The 20,160-nt window shown below is 42.2% G+C and overlaps 1 protein-coding gene across 1 annotated transcript in view, besides 1 other annotated feature; it reads right to left on the bottom strand.

Annotated features, from left to right (window-relative positions):
* Window positions 1-20,160, bottom strand: part of ABHD17C (abhydrolase domain containing 17C, depalmitoylase) — a 60,312-nt gene that overhangs the window by 2,477 nt on the left and 37,675 nt on the right. Inside the window, exon 2 of the mRNA NM_021214.2 lies at window positions 3,453-3,632. Coding sequence (NP_067037.1) covers window positions 3,453-3,632 — 180 coding nt within the window. The remainder of the gene's footprint in view (window positions 1-3,452; window positions 3,633-20,160) is intronic.
* Window positions 2,890-4,089: an enhancer, noted in NCBI's record as "BRD4-independent group 4 enhancer chr15:81041397-81042596 (GRCh37/hg19 assembly coordinates)". NCBI's record gives its function as "activates an origin of replication core promoter dependent on BRD2, P300/CBP, MED14 and CDK7 cofactors, and independent of BRD4, by STARR-seq in HCT116 cells {active_cell/tissue: HCT116}" and the evidence as "EXISTENCE:reporter gene assay evidence [ECO:0000049][PMID:35650434]".

The raw sequence follows: 20,160 nt of genomic DNA, 5'->3' as shown, positions 1-20,160 counted from the left end.
AAATGAATGTCTATTTGGAAAGCTGGACACTTAATTTGCTGCCACTCAAGTCTTCAGAATTCTGAAAGCTACCATCAGAATTGACTCAAAGATACACACCCCATTTCATAAAAGCAAGTGCCTTGTTTTAAAAAATAAAAACTGTACTATTTAGCTTGAAAACTTAATGTAATGCCTAGATTTTATTCCAAATGACTTCTCTGCAAAAATCAAATCTACTCTCAAAGGATGAATATTTGAGGATCTTTAAAACAATATGCTTCAGGCTCTGAAAGCATATCCAAAAGAGGAATCCAAAAGACTTTAAGCATTGGTTGAGCTGGGTGTGTAGGCGACTTCTCTGATCGGGATAACAGTCATTTCATCCACAAATAAATCAAGAGAAATGGCTCTCTCTCCATTCTGTCCTGCCAAAGAGCCTCTTGTAGTTTACTTCTCTTTCCATATTTGATCCTAGTCGAAGTTACAAAAGGATACCAATTAGTACTATTTGTGGGAATCTTTTTGTTAAAAGTAACAGCTAACATTTTTTAAACATTTACCATAGCCGGGTGCTTTGCACTTAACCCACAAAATCTCTTTTAATATTTAATGAAACACAGTGAGAGAGGAATGACCACCTCTGTTTTATCAAGGAGGAAACTGAAGCTCAGAGAGATTATTAAATAACAGGAATGAGGTCGTGGAGATAATAAAGAGCTCTAACATCAATTACACATTCCAAAGATCTACAAACAACTGTCATCTAGCCTTTATTAAAAACTCAGGAAGCCGCGGACCACTTCAAGACATCCCAGAAAGATTGCAAAACCTCATCAGCCATGTAATTTGCAAACATCAGAGCCACTGTGGCAGTATTCAATTATGCACTTTAGAAATCTTATTTGGAAACCTGCTTTCCCCCTATATTTAATTTTAAAGTGACTTCCTTTAAGAGAGTTCAATTATACACAATTAAAAAGATATTTACTCAACAGTTACAATGGGCCTGGGACTATGCTCCACGCTGCACAGTTTAGGAGAATCTCTACTGCCTGGAGGGTGTATTTAAAGTTGACTTCCATCATCCGATCCCAAGTGTAAAGGAGGTAAAAGAAAATAAACTATAAATGAAATAATAATCTGGATTCCTTTTCCTTTTGTTTAAATTTGTTTTAATATTAAAAGGAAATGTGCAAGTATCCTCCTTTAAGGAGAGGGACACAGATGATTCTGCCATCTGGCAACAACGGACATATTAAGAAAATGTTTACCAAATTCAAATTCATGATGAAAGTCAATGCAACCATTAATGGTTTGAAATCTATCATATTAATAATTTATGGCATTAAATATGAGGATTTGTCTCCTTTGTTGTCTCCAATCACCAGCCTTTTAAAAAATTTTTTTAAGAGACAGGGTCTTGCTCTGTTGCCCAAGCTGGAGTGCAATAGTGTAATCCTAGCTCACTGCCACCTCAAAGAGATAAAGCTGGGCTTAAGGAATCTTCCCACCCCAGCCTCCTGAGGAGCTGGGACTACAGATGTGTACCACTATGGCTGGCTAACTTGTTAATCTTTTTCTGTAGTGACAGGATCTTGCTGTGGTGTTGCCCAGGTTGGTCTTGTACTCCTGGCCTCAAGTGATACTCCAGCCTTGGCCTCAAAAAGTGCTGGCATTACAGGTGTAAGCCACTGTGCCTGTCCTCTAATTACCGACCTTAATTCAATAAATTACTTAACCTCTCATTTCCTCATCTGTAAAATGAGCACAGTAATTGAACAAACATCTTTTTTTTTTCCTTTGGAGACAGAATCTTGCTCTGTCACCTAGGCTGGAGTGAAGTGGTGCGATCTCGGCTCACTGCAACCTCCGCCTCCTGGGTTCAAGCAATTCTTATGCCTCAGCCTCCCCAGTAGCTGGGATTACAGGTGTGCACCACCACGCTCGTCTAATTATTTTTTTTTTTTGTATTTTTAGTAGAGACGGGGTTTCACCATGTTACCCAGGCTGGTTTTGAACTCCTGAATTCTGGCAATCCACCCTCCTTGGCCTCCCAAAGTACTGGGATTACAGGCGTGAGCAATCACGCCCAGCTGACAAACTTCATAAGACTCTTGTAAAGATGAAGGGGGACCATGAACATGAAATGCATAGCCCGATACCTGCCATACCAGATAAACTCAGATAAGATTAGTTGCTAATTTGTTGTTAATCATTTGCAATTTGTTGAGATGGCTGTATTTTAAGGTATATGCTAATTTAAGAGCCAGGAAAAAAAAAAAACTATTAGTTTTGTTGCCAGGGTAACTCCCCGCATTGCTTCCCACAAACATGCTAAGTATCCGTCTTTCAGCAAACTGGCCTCTCATTACCAATTCAGCACAAATAAGGCCACATTTGAGAGGCACATTAGCCCTACTTAGCATTCCCAGCCACGCCACTATAAATCTGCAGTGCAACTTTCCCATGAAGCCGAATCTCATTGAATCCTGGTACAAACTGCACAAAACTGAAGTTCACCCAAGGTGTTAACAGAAGGTTCCTTTCTGTGAAATAAGACAGTCTGTATAATAGATGTTTATGTAACCAAACGATGATCTTTTATTTTTTTTCCAGCAATAGCAGGATGAAAGCAATTAATGGGTCAATCAAAAACCCTAAAACCGTGTCTTCTTTCTGCTGAGGTTTTTTTATAAAATGGCAACATGAGCTGGGCCAGTCCTGGGGTAACAATCCTAGGCCCCTCCAGCAAGGACTGTGGGAAAAGCATAAGGGGCAAAATATTTTGTATTAAAAATACTTTCCTCATGCAGGCACCTCTGCAGGGGTGAGATCTTCCGGTCAAAGTGGTAGAGCAGAATAGGGGGTGGCAGGTGAGTTTGTTCATTTATACCATTCCTGTGGCTATTTACCGAAGATCAAAGCCTGGCTTGTCGAGTAACTCACTTTGCCTTTATTCTTCTATTTACAAAGATTAACTGAGCATGGTACCTTTTCCCTTACCTGTACTGTCCAACTGAAAAAGTAAGAGAAATTTCCAAACTGTGCTTGCTTGAAGTTTTTGAGTGTCTACACCACTAGTTGCCCCATCACACATATTGTATACAGCTCAAGATTTAACAAGAAGTGTCTCTGAATGAATGAGCGAGTGCTGAACTGTAAGTTCCTTTAGGATGTATGGGTGCTGTTAAAAATCCTGTATATTAGAGCTCAATCAATTAACCCTAGGCGTCAGTATACTCAAGGTCCTTATACATCATCTGGGAGATTTTCACAAGTGAGTCAGGCCTGGGAGGATAAAATCTCTGGACAGTGTGTGTCATATTTGCTCCCACATGCCCTGTGGCACCCAGCACAGGGTCTGACGTATGGCTGCATTCAATAAATATTTACACAGATATTTATGGGAGCATCAGATATAAACACAGTCATTGGCTGACTTACCACTTGTTGGACAAGCATGAACTTACCTGGGGAAAGCATCAAAGCAGTATGTTTTCCTGGTATCCGGAAAAGCCACACGCAAACCAGACATCAGAGGGGAATGGAGAATTACCGCTGCGCATTCATACCTCGAGGCCAAGTCTACCGTGGGGACAGTCCCAATGCTCTGACCATAGAGGATAATGTTCTCGGGACTCACGCCATACCTGGAGAAATCAGAGGTTGTATGCCATTAGCTAAGGTATGAAGAAAGAGAGAAAGGGACAGAGAAACCCGCCTCTTAAACCCATAAAATTCCCACATCCACCAGCTTAAAACCATATCATCTAACTTGTACACTTTAGTTTAAGATGAATGTGAGCTTGACAAAAACAATTGTTAGGGGCCTGTTTTGGTACTAAGTGACTATGATTCTGCCTTCCACAACATTTGCAAAAAACAATAAACATGATATTATTTTTCTGGCTAATTAAATATATGCTTTATAAATTTCATTTCAGTAGCTACAAAGATGGTCATCTCATTTCCTATTATTCCCCCTTTATATTTTCTTTGCTAATCATAAACACACTTCTGAAGTAAAAACAAAAGCAAGTTTGGCAAATTGCAATATTAAAAACTCGAAGCAAAGTTATCATGATACAAAATATATTAACATTTATCAGAAAAAGTTTTACTGGGAGACAATTAGTTTGAAGACAATTATATTTTCTTTAGTCTCCCTCAGGGTTAAACCCTTCCAAGTCTTTCAATCCATCAGTGGGTTCCAATCCATTCTCTTCAAATTGTTAGTTAAGTAAAGGGCTGTGTGGAATACAGGCTTCATTTCCCAGCCTCCCTTGCAGCCTGGTGCGTGCAGAGACCTAAGTTCCAGCCAACCGCATGTCAGCAGAAGTGACACGAGCAACCTCCAGGTCATGCTTTAAAGTGAATGGTGTGCATTCCCCATGCCTTCCGCCTTCCTGGTGGTGGCAAGTAGATCACAGTGAGCCACCTCAGCCCATGCAGAAGGATGCGGCACCCTAGATATGATGGTGGAACAAAATAGAAGGAACCCGGGAAAATACATGCTCTCTTATTATCCTACAAAGGATGTCCAGAATATCTAAAGAGTGCTTAGAAAAGAAAAAGAAAAAGACAAATAGGCGAAAGAAATGAAGACGAATGTCTAATACACACATAGAAAGATGTGATAATTTCACTAGAACATGAAGATGCAAATTAAATCCATGAGTTACTATTTTATACCCAAACGATAGGCAAAAATGAAGAAGCCAGACAGTGTTGAAAGACGGCAAGGACATGGAAAAGTGGAACGCTGTTACTTTGTAAATTAGTACAAGCACTTGGGAAAACAATTCAACATTATCTGGAAAAGTTGAAGCCCGTGAGCCAACAATTCTCCTTTTCGGAATAAATACGTATTGCAGCTTACAGGACAATATGAAATGCTTTCTGATAACGGCGTTCAGTGAAAAGAACTATCAATCCACAGCTGATGGAAATGGCAGGATTTCAGCCCAACTTCCTCCCCTCCAAGCTCCACGAAACTCCATGGAAGAATGGAGGCCCTAAAGAAAGAATTCAGGGCATTGGAACATGCTTTATGGAGAGCACCACACCTGGGCTGTGCCATGGAGACAGGAATTAAACACATGGAGGTGAGGACTTTCTATGGGAGACGTGCAACGCATACCCAATGCAGCAGCAGGAAAGCACTGGGCCGGCCGGCAGGGGATGTGCTAGGATAGCGTGAATTGGAAGCTAAAGGGTTACGGGCTGTCCTGGAGATGACGGCCACTGGAGTGTCCAAGGGTGAGGTGACAATGGCAGGCAGGAGATGACAGCATGAAAAGGAAGCTGGGAGATCCGGCAGGGGACTATTAAGAATCATGCAGAAGAGAGGAAATAAAAGATTATAACAAAAACAGCATCCGTCCTCCATTTCTAAAGTGAAGTGTCTGTGTGGCCCTGCAACTTGACACCATCCAATAAAACTGTGCCTATGGAAGAGGCCCCCAGATGCAGGTTTTGCCTGGCGTTCTTGCCTGGGGCTTCATTCCCGTTGGCGTAACAGGTTACTAAAAAATGGTCAGCATGGGCAGTTTTGGTGGGGAGGTTTGAGGAAACAACTGATACAGCAGCATCCTGTGCCCAAATCCACATCAGAGACCACGGATTTTCAAACACAAAGCACCCTCCACGAGGACTAAATGGGGAGAGGGGTTAGAAAGGAACACTGTTCTCATGTCTCAATGCTGAAGGTAAGCTGTCCCAGGGATCTCCCCAGCAGCAACTGCCACCAAGATCCTTCTTTCACGGACTGGGAGGGCCGTTTCAGCAGGAGTTCTTAACCTCAAGTCCAGGGAGTCTTTGGGGAGAGCATAAATAACATCAGGGGTCTCCTCCTCCCTCCACAATTTTCATCAGATTTTCAAAGCAGTCTACGACCCCAAAAAGCATATGGACCATGAGATGTGGCATTACAGGGAGTCTGCAGGCACCTGGAGAGAGAGAGCCTCCAATTTCCACATTTGGGGATGAGTTCTTTCCACAATGACCACTCTTGTGGACAGGCCATTCATTTTCCTATCAATTATTTTTAAAAATCATAAATCAAAGAAAATATAAGAGGAGGAGAGAAGTGAAAACTGAAGGCAGTTAATGAATGACGCACAGAAGATTAAGAGATGATTAATACTGAATATCAAAAATAAAGTAAAAGACTTCCAGGTAAAAATGGCAACCAGACTAGCCCTCACCTTCTTTGATAAAATCTGGTCTGAGAGGATTATATAGGATAACATTATCATAGTTATGAGGAAGTGTTCATTTTACTTCTTATGACGAGTCCAACATATGTTTTCAAAATCCTGTCTTCTATATAACACGCCATGGGACTTTATAAGCTCAGAGGTTGCACTGAATAAAGGAAGGAACAGGCACCGACCCAAGAGGCACAGCCCAGGAGACAAGGCAGAGGGAAGCGCCCTGGCCATCAGGCAGGCAGCTCTTTCTCCTGCCAATGTCCTGGACCAGCCATCCTCAGAGATCATGACCTTCTTTAAATGCCTTCTGGAGAAGCTAGAGCTATTGTGCTTGAGGATTCTCAGTTCCTAGCCTTCGGTTCTCAGCACTAGGACACACCCAGTACCAGTGTCTACAAAGCCCACCTTTGATTCCAATGGACTCACATCCTTCGTGACAACCAACTCAAAGTTTCACTGAAAAATGTCACCAGGTAAAACACAAAAAAGCACTAGTCATAAAGAAAAAAAAAAGACAGAAAGTATTACATTAAAATCAAGAACTTCCGGTCATCAGAAGACACCCATAAGAAAGTGAAAGGACAAGCCACCAAGTGGGAAAATATATTTGCCACAGAGCCTAGATCTAGCATATACAAATAACTACTACAAATCAATAAGACAACTGACTAAACAAGAAAAATAGAATTTCACAAAATAAGAAAAAAAGAGGGGAGGGAAAGACAGAGAAAGAGAAAAAAAGAGAAGAGTTATTCAACTTCATTAGTAAAAAGGAAAATGCAAATTAAAATAATCATGTGATACTCTACACATTTATCAGATTGACAAAAATTCAAAAGCCTAACAATATTAAGTGTTGGCAAGGATGTGTACAAGAATGCTCATTCACTGTTGATGGGGACTTATGTTGATAGAATCAGTTTAGAAAAAGTTTGGCAATATTAAGTGACATGATTTATTAGCACATACCCAGGAACCTAGCAATTCTACTCCGAGATAAATTCAACACACAAATAAGTGCTTACATATACCAGAAATATCTACTAGACTGAGTGCATGTCTACACAGAGACAGCCCTAAGGTATATCAACAGCAGAGTGGATAAAGAAACTGTGGTATGGTTGTGCTGTAGAATATGTACATGGACACTAAGATTCATATTTTTATTTCAATAGTTTTGGGGGTACAGGCGGTTTTTGGTTACGTGGGTAAGTTCTTTAGTGGTAATTTCTGAGATTTTGGTGCACCCGTCACCACCAGTGAATCTTAAAGTCATGCTGTTAAGGCTGGGCGCGATGGCTCACGCCTGTAATCCCAGCGCTTTGGAAGGCCAAGGTGGGAAGATCACTTGAGACCAGTAGTTTGAGACCAGCCTGAGCAAAAAAGCAAGACACCATCTCCACAAAATAAAAAAAATTAGCTGGGCAAAGTGGCGTCCCCTGTAGTCCAAACTACTTGGGAGGCTGAGGTGGGAGGATCACTTGGGCCCAGGAGGTCGAGGTGAACAGTGTTCATGCCACTGTACTCCAGCCTGGGTGACCCTCTTAAAAAAAAAAAAATGCTGTTAGGGAAAAGAGGCAGATACAGCAGAACACACATTATGTGACACCATTTACAAAAACTTAAACCTACCAAAATTAAACATCATTGTTTAGGGATATTTAATTGGGTGGTAAGCCTATAAAGAAAAGCAAGGAAGTGAATCACTAAAGTTAGGATAGTGATTACAGGCAAAAAGGGAAAGGGTCATCACTGGAGAGAAGGATGTCCTTCCTGGGGGTTGTAAATGCTGGGGATAGTCTATGTCACACCACAAGTGTTCCTTTTATAAGTCATTAAGCTGGACATCTGTATTTTATGAACTTTTATGTATGGCAGTTATATTTCATGACAAAAAAATTCTTTAAAAGCTCACCAGATACTTCAGATATGGAGACAGCCCTCACAAAACTGTGACAACTCATGGTAGATTTTGTGCTAAAAATAAACCTCATGAGGCAACATCAGACCATTAAAAATGATGTCTCATAAAGAATCAACGTGGGGAAACACTCATGTTAATTTTAACAAAAAGCAATGAAAAGGAGCTTACAAAAACAGGGCCACAATTACATTTCTAAAGAGAAATCTTTACATGGAAAAGGGACTTGAAAGCAATACATGAAAATGGTAATAACTGTTGTCTTCAGGTGGTGAGACTGAGTAGCTTTTCTTCTTTCAAATTTTCATTCCTAATTTCCTTTAGTTATTAGGCAGTGACTTGTTGGGAAAAAAGGGAAGCAGTATCGCTAGTCCTTTTTGTGTAGAGTCAGTAGGCATGCTGCGAACTGCCAGCGTTTTTCAAAGGGCTCAGAAAACAAGAGCGTGCTAAGTCAAACGCTCAGATTTGTTAGCACTGTGTTAAGGACTTTGCCATTGCTTTTTCCTGTCTTTACTATACTGTTGGACAATAAATGAGGAACCAAGGAGGTAGATAATTCTGTGAAAGTATCAGGATTTTTAGTAGAACAGTAAGAGGCCTCTGTTCTAACACCCGGTTTTAGCAGGTGAGGACAACTCTTTTTACTGTAGTACTAGGATTTTTTTTTTCTATCAAAGTATTAGACTAGTGACCTCTATGCCAATGGTTCCAAAATGAGAAGTATCTGAATTACTTGGGAAATTATTATTATGTATTTATTTTTCATGTAAACTCCCTGGCTCTATCTACACTTATTAATTCTGATTCAGTGGGTGTGCGGATTCTTCAAACTAAATACTGACTGACATTGGGCAAAAAGAGTTGGACTACAGCCTAAGGCCCCTTTAGTTCTCAGATTAAATTACATAAAAGACAGAGGGGGGAAAAAAGAGACAATGAATTAAGTTTGTGTGAAACATAGGTCAGTTTAACATCATAGCTTTAGAAAAAACATAACAGGATCAAGTGAAAAGTATTTTCTCAAAAAACATTAACAGTTCCAAAGTCTAAAGCCTTTATTTTAGAATAAAACAGAAGTTAAACCCTACCAGTCTGGAACAAGGCAGTATTTTTGGAGCAGCCAGAAACAATATAGGCGACACAGAAGATGTATTCATAGCCAGGCACGGTGGCTCACGCCTGTAATCCTAGCACTTTCTGAGGCCGAGGAGTGCGAACTCCTTGAGGCCAGCCTGGACAACAAAGTGAAACCTTATCTCTACTAAAAATACAAAAAATTAGTTGGGCATGGTGCTGTGCGCCTAGTAGCGTCCCTGCTACTAGGGAGGCTGAGGTGGGAGGATCACCTGAGCTCATGAAGTTGAGGCTGCAGTGGGCTGAGATCACACCACTGCACTCCAGTCTGGGCGATGGGAGTGAGACCTTGTCTCCAAAAAAACAAAACAAAATAAAACAAAAAGATGTATTCATGCAGGATTTTTAGCATTTTTAATTATGATTTGCTATTTTGGGGAGTATCACAATGGGAAAAGGTTAAAAATGATTCCTGCTAGTCAGCATGACCTTTGTGGGAAAGACGCAGGGAGGACAGGAACCGCAGCAGGGCCTACACACAGCGCTTTCTATCCCTAAGGCAGCATTTTAAAAGTAAACATTCCTGCTCCCTAAGTACACATACACAGCCGGTAGTGGGTGAGTGCGGATCTAGAGGCCTTGGGGGCACTCCTCCACAGACTACACCAGGCCAGACCATTCTCCTTCCCCTGCCCATTTGCCCCTGCTCCCTGGCATTGTTGAAGACATGTTGGTTCTTAACAAGGGTTAACCTTCCACTTGAGCGCCAGATTCTTACCCCTCCCAGAACTTGAAGAATCTCCTCCCCGCCCCTGTAAAATTTCAATCTTTATTCTCTCAATGCCACAGATATATCCAAGTCTCTGAATCTAAGAAAGGACCTGTTTTCATCAGCACTCTGTGCTTGAGGCCACAGCCCCATCTCTTACCTCCATTTCCCCACCACCCCACCCTCCCACCCACTCAACCCTAAGCCCTCTGAAACCTGCCTTCTGCCCCTATGAAGTCTTGCAAACAGCTATCAGAAGTACCAAACCCAACCACTTTTTCTCACTTCTCATCCAGTTCAACTTCTCCTTGGCAGTTCACATTAAGAACGATGCCTTCCTTCTTAAATTCCATTCCTAGGCCTCTGAGACCCGGAGTCACTCTTGGTTCCTCCTCCTGCCCCTGCCACAAATGGGCCTGGCCTACTTCACTGGCTCATCTTCCCCAAGCTCTAGTCTTACTATCACACTCTTATATTTTCTCTCCTACAATCTCATTTAACCCCAGGACTTCAACTAGCAGCTCTATGCTGGCCTGATGGCTAATTTTACGTATCAACTAGATTGGGATAAGGGATGCCCAGACATCTGGTAAAACATTATTTCTGGGTGTGTCTGTGAGGGTGCTTCTGGAAGAGACTAGTATTAAATCAGTAGACTGGGTAAAGAAAGCATCATCTAATCCATTGAGGGCCCAGATAGAACAAAAAGGTGGACAACAGGAAAATTATCTCTCTCTTCTTGAGCTGGGACATCGATCTCCTGCCCTTGGACACTGGAACTCCTGGTTCTAAGACCTTCAGACTTCAGGACATACACTTGTATCCTTCCCCTGCCCACTTTCACCCCCCGGCAAGATTCTCAGGCCTTTGGCCTCCAAGTGGGAATGCAGCACCATCAGCTCCTCCTGGTCCTCAGGCCTTTGGACTGGGATGAATTACATCACAGCCTTTCCTGGGTCTCCAGCTTGCAGATGGGAGATCATGGACTTGGCCTCCATAATCACGTGAGGCAACTCCCATAAAAAAAATCTCCTCTTATATATGTATATACAGTAGAGTCCCCCCACCAGATTCATGGTTTTGCTTTTCACGGTTTCAATTACCTACAGCTCAACTGCAGTCTGAAAATATTACATAGAAAATTCCAGAAATAAACAATTCCTAATTCTGAGCAGCATGATGAAATCTCACATTGTCCCACTCCGTCCCACCTGGGATGTGAACCCTCCCTTTGTCCAGCATACAGAGTCTACACTACCTGCCCATTAGTCACTTAGTAGCTGGCTGGGTTATCAGATCAATTGTCATAGTATTGTAGACTTGTGTTCAAGTAACCCTTATTTTACTTCACGGGGGCTCCAAAGCACAAGAGAGGCGATGCTGACAATTCGAATATGCCAAAGAGAAGTTGCAACATGCTTCCTTTAAGTGAAAAGGAAGTTCCCAACTTAATAAGAAAACAGACAACTGCTGCTGAAGTTGGTAAGATCTACAATAAGAACAAATCTTCTACCTGTGAGATTACGAAGAAAAAAAAATTGTGCTAATTTTGCTGCACGTACAGGGCTTCCTTTAAGTGAATAGGAAGTTCTCAACTTAATAAGAAAAGAGACAACTGCTGCTGAAGTTGGTAAGATCTACAGTAAGAACAAATCTTCTACCTGTGAAATTACAAAGAAAAAAAAACTGTGCTAATTTTGCTGCATGTACAGGGCTTCCTTTAAGTGAATAGGAAGTTCTCAACTTAATAAGAAAAAAGACAACTGCTGCCAAAGTTGGTAGGATCTACAGTAAGAACAAATCTTCTAATTGTGAAATTACGAAGAAAAAAAAATTGTGCTAGTTTTGCTGCATGTACAGGGCTCAGGACTATCCTCAGTTTCAGGTATCCACTGGGGGTCTTCATCTTTTTTTAATGCATTAAAAAAACAGCTGCTGGGCATCTCCCTTGGACCGGACATGAAACCTTTAGAGGACAGAAAGATGAATGCAGTATGTTTGGTGGCCTCCAGGAGCTGAGTCTAACTGGGGAGCCAAGACATACATATAAAAGGGGAGCACGAGCAGAAGCAAGGCTATATGTAAGGTGAGTAATTCGGACACAGATGTCATGGCAGATGAAGGAAGGGGATCAAGACCAGGCAGGGTACAAGCTATGTGGGCAACGGCAATGTCTGCTCTTGGTCAACTACTGATCTGTTTCCATGTCCACTAAACACGTGTTTTCATCAGATTCTCCCTGGACTTCATGAAATCTGTGGTCCTGACTTAAATGTGTAAGTAGGTATTTTCTGTACACTCTTCTCCAGGGAAAGGTCATTCTCACCAGTGAGACTAAACATATTCACTTTACAACAGAGTCTCAAGGTAGAGTGTCATCATATTTTGCCAAGATGAGTCTAGGACTGTACAGCTGGCCCTTGGGTCCCACGGCAGGTTCTGACACTGAAATCTGACTGAAGAGCTCAGACTTATGTAGAAGGACTGGAATTGGGACAAAACGTCTTGATATTAATGATGAGAATGCTGAGGCGGTAGAAGAACCATCATCATGACCTGTACCCCCTCACATTTCTTCCAGGCCAGAATTCTGATCCGTATGTCTCTGTACCTGAGCACAGTCCATCATCTTCAGCCCTTGGCGTTATAAACCCCAGAATCCTTTGACCTCTTGACCATCCTACTTTGGTCAACTCCCAGTCCCGGGAGTTGGCTTAGGTAAGGGGATTTGCCAGAGGGAGAAGGCAGGAAGGCAGACAGTTGATGTATTCTCCTACTACTGAAACCACGGGCCCATCCAAATGACCAGTGCAGCGAGTACAGCTGCACTGAAAATGGAATCCATGATGTTTCTGATCAGAGTCTATCGTAAGGGCTCAAAACTCTTGGGACATGTGTTTCTTCCCTCTAAGGAACTCAAGATATAGCTCAGAAGAAAGGATACTAACATGGTAGCAACAGGCAGTGTCCTGTTGCAAGTGGAAGACCGGCAGGGAGAAGTCACAGAAAAGTAAGTAATGAGGTCAAGTCTACCACAGGTCTGAGCAGGTGGCAGGATTAAAGCTGTTGGACATAGTATCAAGGGCTTAGTTAAGCAATAGAATCAGGAAGTCGGCATGTGTGGAAAGGGTAGGGCAAGAAAACAAAACAAATGAAAACAAACCCAGGCACTGACCAGGCAGTAGGGATTAGGAAGTCAGACGGGGAGCTAGTGCAGCCCCAAGTTCAGAACACACATAGCATCTGCAGAATAGATGTGTGACACTAGAGGCTTAAAAAGAAAGACGAACAGGCCAAAAGGGAAAAGATTTGAGTTAGGGAGAACTCAGCAGCCCACCTGTAAATTCAAGGAAATACCCAAATGACACAGAACAACAGGGGCTGTATTGGTCCACTTTGTGTTGCTATAAAGGAATACCTGAGACTGAGTAATTTATAAAGAACAGAGGTTTATTTGGCTCATGGTTCTGCAGGCTGTACAAGCATGGGACCAGTACTTGCTCCACTTCTGGTGAGGCTTCAGGAAGCCTTTCTCATGGATGGTGAAGGGGGACGCAGCGTGTCACATGGTGGGGGAGAGAACAAGAGAGATGTCAGGTTCTTTTTAAGCAACCAGCTCTCATATGAACTAATATAACAGAAAGAGAACTCATTACCATGGGGAGGGCACCAAGCCATTCATGAGGGATCCACCCACATGACCCAAACAGCTCCCAACAGACCCCATCTCCAACACTGGGGGTCACATTTCAACATGAGATTTGGAGGAGACAAATATCTAAACCATATCAAGGGCAAAATCAGGAAGGATTCTGATTTAAAATACATATAAAACAAAATTCAACATGTAGGGCAGTAGCTAAGGCATGGTTAATGGAGTTGTTGCCTGTGGAACCTGGCAGTCAGGATGAAAGAGAGCTCACAGGTAGGCTGTGTTTTCAGGGGCCAGGGGAGGCTTCTCTACCTTTGAAGGGATGAGGTGAAGAACAAAGTATTTTCTGCATCAGCAAAAGGTGCTTAATAAATATCTGCTGTTGACTACATCATGTCATTCTGAAAATGTTCTCCTCTGGTTCCCTTAATACCACATTAGCTAGATCTACCCTGCTCTTTCTGGGCACTCTTCTTCTGTTTCCTTTGGTCACTCCTCTTTCTTCTCCCACACAACAGGTTGGCATCCCTCAAAGCTCAATCCTCACCCCTTTCTGGCATCTTTTGTCTTCAAATTGATTTCCTTGTATTAATAGAACTTGTCCAATGCCAGCATCTAGCACAGTGGCTGACATATAGTAGTTATATGATAAATATTTGTTAAATGAATAAATGAGTGGCCAGACTCTCTAAAATGTTTGTTCATTTGCCCCCAGTATTTCATCTGAACTCTAGCCTCCCCACCCTTCCTTTCTTTTGATGCTTCCTCCTGAGCACCCCATCCCTTCACATGTAACATCTCCCAAACTTGACACTTCATATTCGTTCCCCAATCTTTCTGTTTCTATCAATCACCATGCCCTATATCTCATGGGCTTGGGAACTAGGATGAATTTTTCACCTTTCTCTCCCCTTTGTCTCTCACACACTTGTAGTCACTAAGTCTCACCATTTCTATCTTTGAGATGTTTTACAGACCCATTGTTTCTCTGACACCACTTCTGTTGCTTTGTGGTGGGCTACAAATGGCAGCATCTTTTGGACAATTAATCAGGGCCTGCCTTCTGTTTGGTTTGTGAACCCGCACAGTTTGCCCAATGATGAACATCTCCATCCAGGTACCCAGAGTCTTTCTGGAAACCTTACTCTTGCTGCCTGTACATCCCCTCCATGGTGCTCAGACTGCCCCACAGGGACCTTGGCTGCCCAAACTTCCCACCTGTTCTGTCCTATCCTGTTGGTTTCTGTGTATCAGCTTATGGTTGAGAAGGAAGCAGGTGTTACGGTTCTTGACTACTGACCTGGTGTCAATCCATTGCTGTACCCTGACTCACGCTAACAGCATACACTCTGATGGCCTACCAGCTTCCATCCCAGCTTCTCCCTTTTTCCCAAGGCAGAACCTGAGAATCCCTCAGGCATAATCAATGCCCACAGCTGACTTCTTCTCTTCTCTCCCAGACCTGTTTTCCTTCCAATTCTATCTATATAAACTGTCCCACTCATGTCACTCCCTACTCCAATCCGTCCTTCCCAACAGATATATCTTCCTTGAAAAAAGAAAAAAAAAACAAACTTTTTTTATGCTGCTTTGTTCATCAAACTCTTTGGACAATCACTGTGCTTAGGATAAAAGTCCATGTCCACAATCTAGCCCCATCCGACTATTCCAACATTTTCTTTTCTCTCCAGGTGGCCCTTCTGCTCCTGTGGCTCAGGCTCTTCCCTCACTGGCTCATAAACACCCCCTGCCTGGAATGTTCTCCCTCCTTGTCATCACCTGGACAACTCTGGGGTCCTACAGGTCCATTCCGGTCCTACCTCGTCCTTTCACATTTCTTGACTCCTCCAGTCTACAGACATAATTTTCTTTCCTGAGCCATCCACTCAGATGCTTAATGACAGGAAGGTGGATGTGTTTAACTGCACCGTGGCATGCCCTACACTTACAATGACGATGTAAGCTCCACAAGGGTAGATAAAATTGTATCTCCCTTTGGGCAAGTTAACAATTTCCAGGCTCAGGGATCAGTGAGTTGGGGGGCACCTTTTGCTTTGAACAGAATGTGATTCTAGCCAAAAGCTGTTTTTGAACAAATTAAAATTAAATTTCAGACACAGTCATCATTCCAGTGGACATATAATCCATTCGAAGTTTACCATCACCTTGGGGATCTAGACAGGAACAGAATCTCTTGCAGCAAAAACAAAGACCGTACTAATATTTAGTAAGCATGCAAGCATTAACATTTTTAAGCATGATGTAAGATTTTCTTAAAACAGAGCACAAGAAATTAAAGTCTCCCAATTTTTACCGGGGGAAGCCACAGCCCTGAATCATTACTCTTTGTCACGGGCAGTGCGATGTGTGCAGTAATCCCCTTTGCAAGTTTTTGCTCTCAGCCTCTCCCAATGTCTACCATCCTTTTGCAGTCACAGGCTATGCTGAGTACAGGTTGATCAGCACGAATTTGGGTTTCCATTCCCACTCAGCATATGGGAATGGGACATGCCCCCAAGAGCACCCTGAAACCGAGGGTTTGGCAGCCATCTCAGCAGCAAGAGGAAGCACTGAGGCAGGAAGTTCCTGCAATGGAGGCTGACAGCGCCAAGGAGATGGTGTCTCATGGGAACGATCACTTATAAAGTTAAAATCTGTTTGTTTTTGTTTTAATGTAAGGCTTGCTTTTCCTTCTACAACCATGAACAAGCCTGGCCTCCCTGAGACACACTGCATCCTGTTTAAGTTAATGGGCCTTGACTTTGTCCTTTGTCAGGAGCTCTCCCATTTATCTTCAGAGAAGCACGCTTGGCACAGTTCCACTGACTTTGAAGTCAACATTTTAAATATTTCAGAGTTAGAATTCCTAGTGGAAATATCTTAAGACATAGGAAGAAGATAAATACACAAGGTAACGTGAATGTTAACTGAAGGATGAGGTCTGAGGATACTGAGAAATCCTACTAACTTTATAAACTTTAGATAAACATTAAAAAAATAAAAATTAAACTTTAGAGAAAAGCCTCAGAATAAAAAGACTGACTATGCAAGGGAAGCAGGTGTGTAAATAGGACCAGCCAGAAAACACAGTCCCTCGGTCATGTGGAATACTTTTGCCCCAGGCAAACCTTTTAGCCAAAACTTAACAAACGTGCTTTATATTTTAATTATGAGGAAGAGGAGGAAAAAAGCATCAATCACCTAAAATGTACTTATTGTTCCTTAAAATACAACTTTGTTTTGAGGAACTGTCAAAAAAAACAAAAACACGTTTGTAGATTTGGAAAATTTTTTAGCATTATACTAAGTAAAATTTCACAAACAGACTTCTATTGGTTGTTCATTCCAATGGTGAAAACAAAGAAAACACATTTTAAAGTATCCGCTGTTTTGGTGCTATGTGGATAAAAATTTAAAGGTTAGTAATGTCTGCTGTATATTTTTTCCTTTTTCTAATTTTTAACTAATTTGATTAAAAGGGTCATTTATAAGCAGCTCATTATAACCCCTGGAAGTTTCTAAAACCTGGGCACAGTCCAGGTATTCTCTCAACAGTGGTTATAAAAGAAAACATACCAAATACAGCATTAAAAGTAGGCTCAGTCCCTTCAAGTAACACTGGATGTAAGGAGGGTAAACCATGTGCTCTTGAGTTACAGGTCTTTGGGGGAAATAATGAAGGAAATGAGATTCAAAACAAGAAATAACACTAAAACCAAGTATAAATGTAGGCAAAATTAATATTATGGTCAAGTTCATTGAGGTACAGCAAAGAGAATGATCGAAATGGGGACCTGAAAGTCGGAAAAAGCTTCAGGTAGAAGGTGGAGCTCAAAGCCAATGTCAAAGGAGAGGAGATTTAAAAACATGAAGAAAGGCAATAGCAGCAGGGGAGGGAGAGTCTCTCTTGAACACGGCACTGGAGCCCGCCCTGGCTGGAGCGAGGGTTTGATGGTAGGCAGCGGCAGGGGCGTAAAAACAAGGAGGAAACAGAGTGTGGAAAGGCTTGGGAACGCACACAAGATCCGACAAGGTGGAGGTGGGTGGTGAGAGTGGCAATGGGAAGGAGGGTGCTGGGTGGGAAGAAGTGCTTTGCAGAAGAGTGTTGCTCTTATCCCACATGCATGTAGCAGGTAGAGGGGCACAGGGAGAGATTCAAAGACAATTCTATAGGTAAGTGTTGAGAAAATTGGCACAAATTGGGAGGTTGGGAAGGAGATAATAGGTAGAGTTGGATTTTTGTCTGTTTCAGTAGGAAATAAGTTTAGTTTGGGAATATATTGAGTTTCAGGGAACTTTGGAACATGCTAATAAGCAGGGCATAAAAGGTTAACCTCTCAGGGTTAATTACAAAGAAAAATCTTCCTGAAACTGGATATCTATGTTAAGAAAGACCAGTCCCTGAGCTCTCCTCATTCTTTCTCCTGCCACAGTGCAGAGGAAGACAAGTGGCCGGAAGTAGCAGCCTGGGGGATATCTGTTCAAGCAAGGACACAGGAGCAGAGCTAACAGCAGAGGCTCTGGAAGGCCCAGGTCCCATGCGAGATGATGATACCATAATGCACAGAGTAACAAGGGCATTTTAGGAAAACATAACTTACAAAAGGGCTTGGTGTGGTGAAATACCTGCTAATCAATGTAGCCTTTCCTAAACCTATTCACTCATTTCAATACATATCAAGACAAGCTTTACCTAATTTTTGTAAAGCAGCATCCACCCTTAATGTATGATGCTTCATTCTATCCTAGATGTTTGAAATTCTTTTCAAATAGTGGTTCAAGGAAGGGCCCTCTGTGTCATGTCAAAATCTACCTTCAAAAGAATGTAATACTTTATGACATTCAAGACTATTCTCTCCTACCATATACCCTTTCTCTGTGCCAAAGCAAAAATAAACAAGACCTGACATGATGACTTCATTTTAATTTTTTAAAATTTAAAAAATTTTATCTTCCATTTTTCAGAGGAAAAGTTATAGTCCTAAAAAATATAAAATTAAATCTCTTTGGATCTGCTACAAGTAAAATAGAATAATTTGCTTGAACTTATCTGAGTATAATTGTGCATGAAACTGTTCTAATAATAATGGAGATTCTTTTGGCATTCTGTAATTATTTAACATGTTGGAAAAGCCAGAAAATGCTGCCTTCTCTCTACAACTGCACAAATATCTGTCGAATGGTTAGAAAGCTACCTCCTCCACAGGGCATTTGAGCAGACTGCACAAGCTGGCTTATATAAAACATCTAGGCCAGACATGGTGGCTCACACCTGTAATCCCAGCACTCTGGGAGGCCGAGGTGGGAGGATTGCTTGGGCCCAGGAGTTCAAGACCACTCTGGGCAACATGGTGAATCCCTATCTCTACCAAAAATACAAAAATTAGTCCGGCATGGTGGTGCACATCTGTAGCCCCAGCTACTCGGGAGGTTGAGGTAGGAGGATGGTTTGAGTCCGGGACGTGGAAGTTGCAATGAGCCAAGATCGCACCACTGTACTCCAGCCTGGGTGACAGAGCCAGACCCTGTTTTAAAAAAATAAATAAATAAATAAATAAATAAATAAATAAATAATAAAATAAAATTCACCATTCCATTTCCAAGAAACCCAGCCAAAAGTTAAGGTACAGATTTCATGAATTCTCTGTTGGGGAAAAAAAAACTTTAAATATTGAATTTAATTATCAATTTGATTGCCAAGGCTGAAAAATATTTCTTAGAACTAGAAACTCAAGTATCTAATTTCTAATTGTTTTATCTCTTTGTAGGATGAGTTCATACAAGTGCTATAGTGGAGGAGACACAGATGGTTGGTGAGTTTGCCTGCTTGACACTGACTTGCAAATGACTGTGAATCTGAGACAGCAATGCTACATTTAGCTCCTGCACTAAAACTGCTGAGATGTTTGCCAGGAAGTTCTTGGATAGTGACTTACTGGGGATAGAGAACGTGTATGACCTGTTCTGTCTTTTTGGAGCATCCCTCTGCCTCCCAGTCCTTGAACTCTAGGTGTGAATACATGTCCAGGTCTGGGCAATAAGAGTATTGAATCCTCCTGGCCAGAGTGACTTCTTAGGGGATAAGCCTAGGACCCAAGCCTGGTCAATCCCAGTCCTCCCCAGGATGTCAGCACCCTCTTCTGCTGAGCCTGGGGCCTCCTTGAGAATTACACAAGGAAGAAAGCAAAGCTGAGAGCAAGTGAGCCTGCTTGATGCCATCGTCTGAGGCCCTGTACCCAGACATGAGAGCTTAGAGTCCTCTCTCTTAATGCTGGACTAAAACAGGGATTCTGTAAGTAACCTGGAGTATGTGGTCATGACCATGAGGAGGTCGGGGACAGGGGAGGGAAGGTGGAGATTCGTAGAGGACATAGAAAGAAGAGTACGCTCTGCAATCAGACAGCACAAGGTCTGAACCCAGCTCTGCCTTGCACCTGTAGCACCCTCTCCACGGCCATAGAAAGGTGGAGTAAGGCTTGCCTCTGGGACTGCTGCAAGAATTAAATAGGCAGTGAGTGAAACTGACAGGCTGGGGCAGGCCAGCCTTAAT

Source organism: Homo sapiens, chromosome 15 (assembly GCF_000001405.40).
Source record: "Homo sapiens chromosome 15, GRCh38.p14 Primary Assembly".
NCBI lineage: Eukaryota > Metazoa > Chordata > Mammalia > Primates > Hominidae > Homo > Homo sapiens.
The sequence above is the reverse complement of the archived record's forward strand: the minus strand, read 5'-3'. Positions and strand labels throughout refer to the sequence as shown.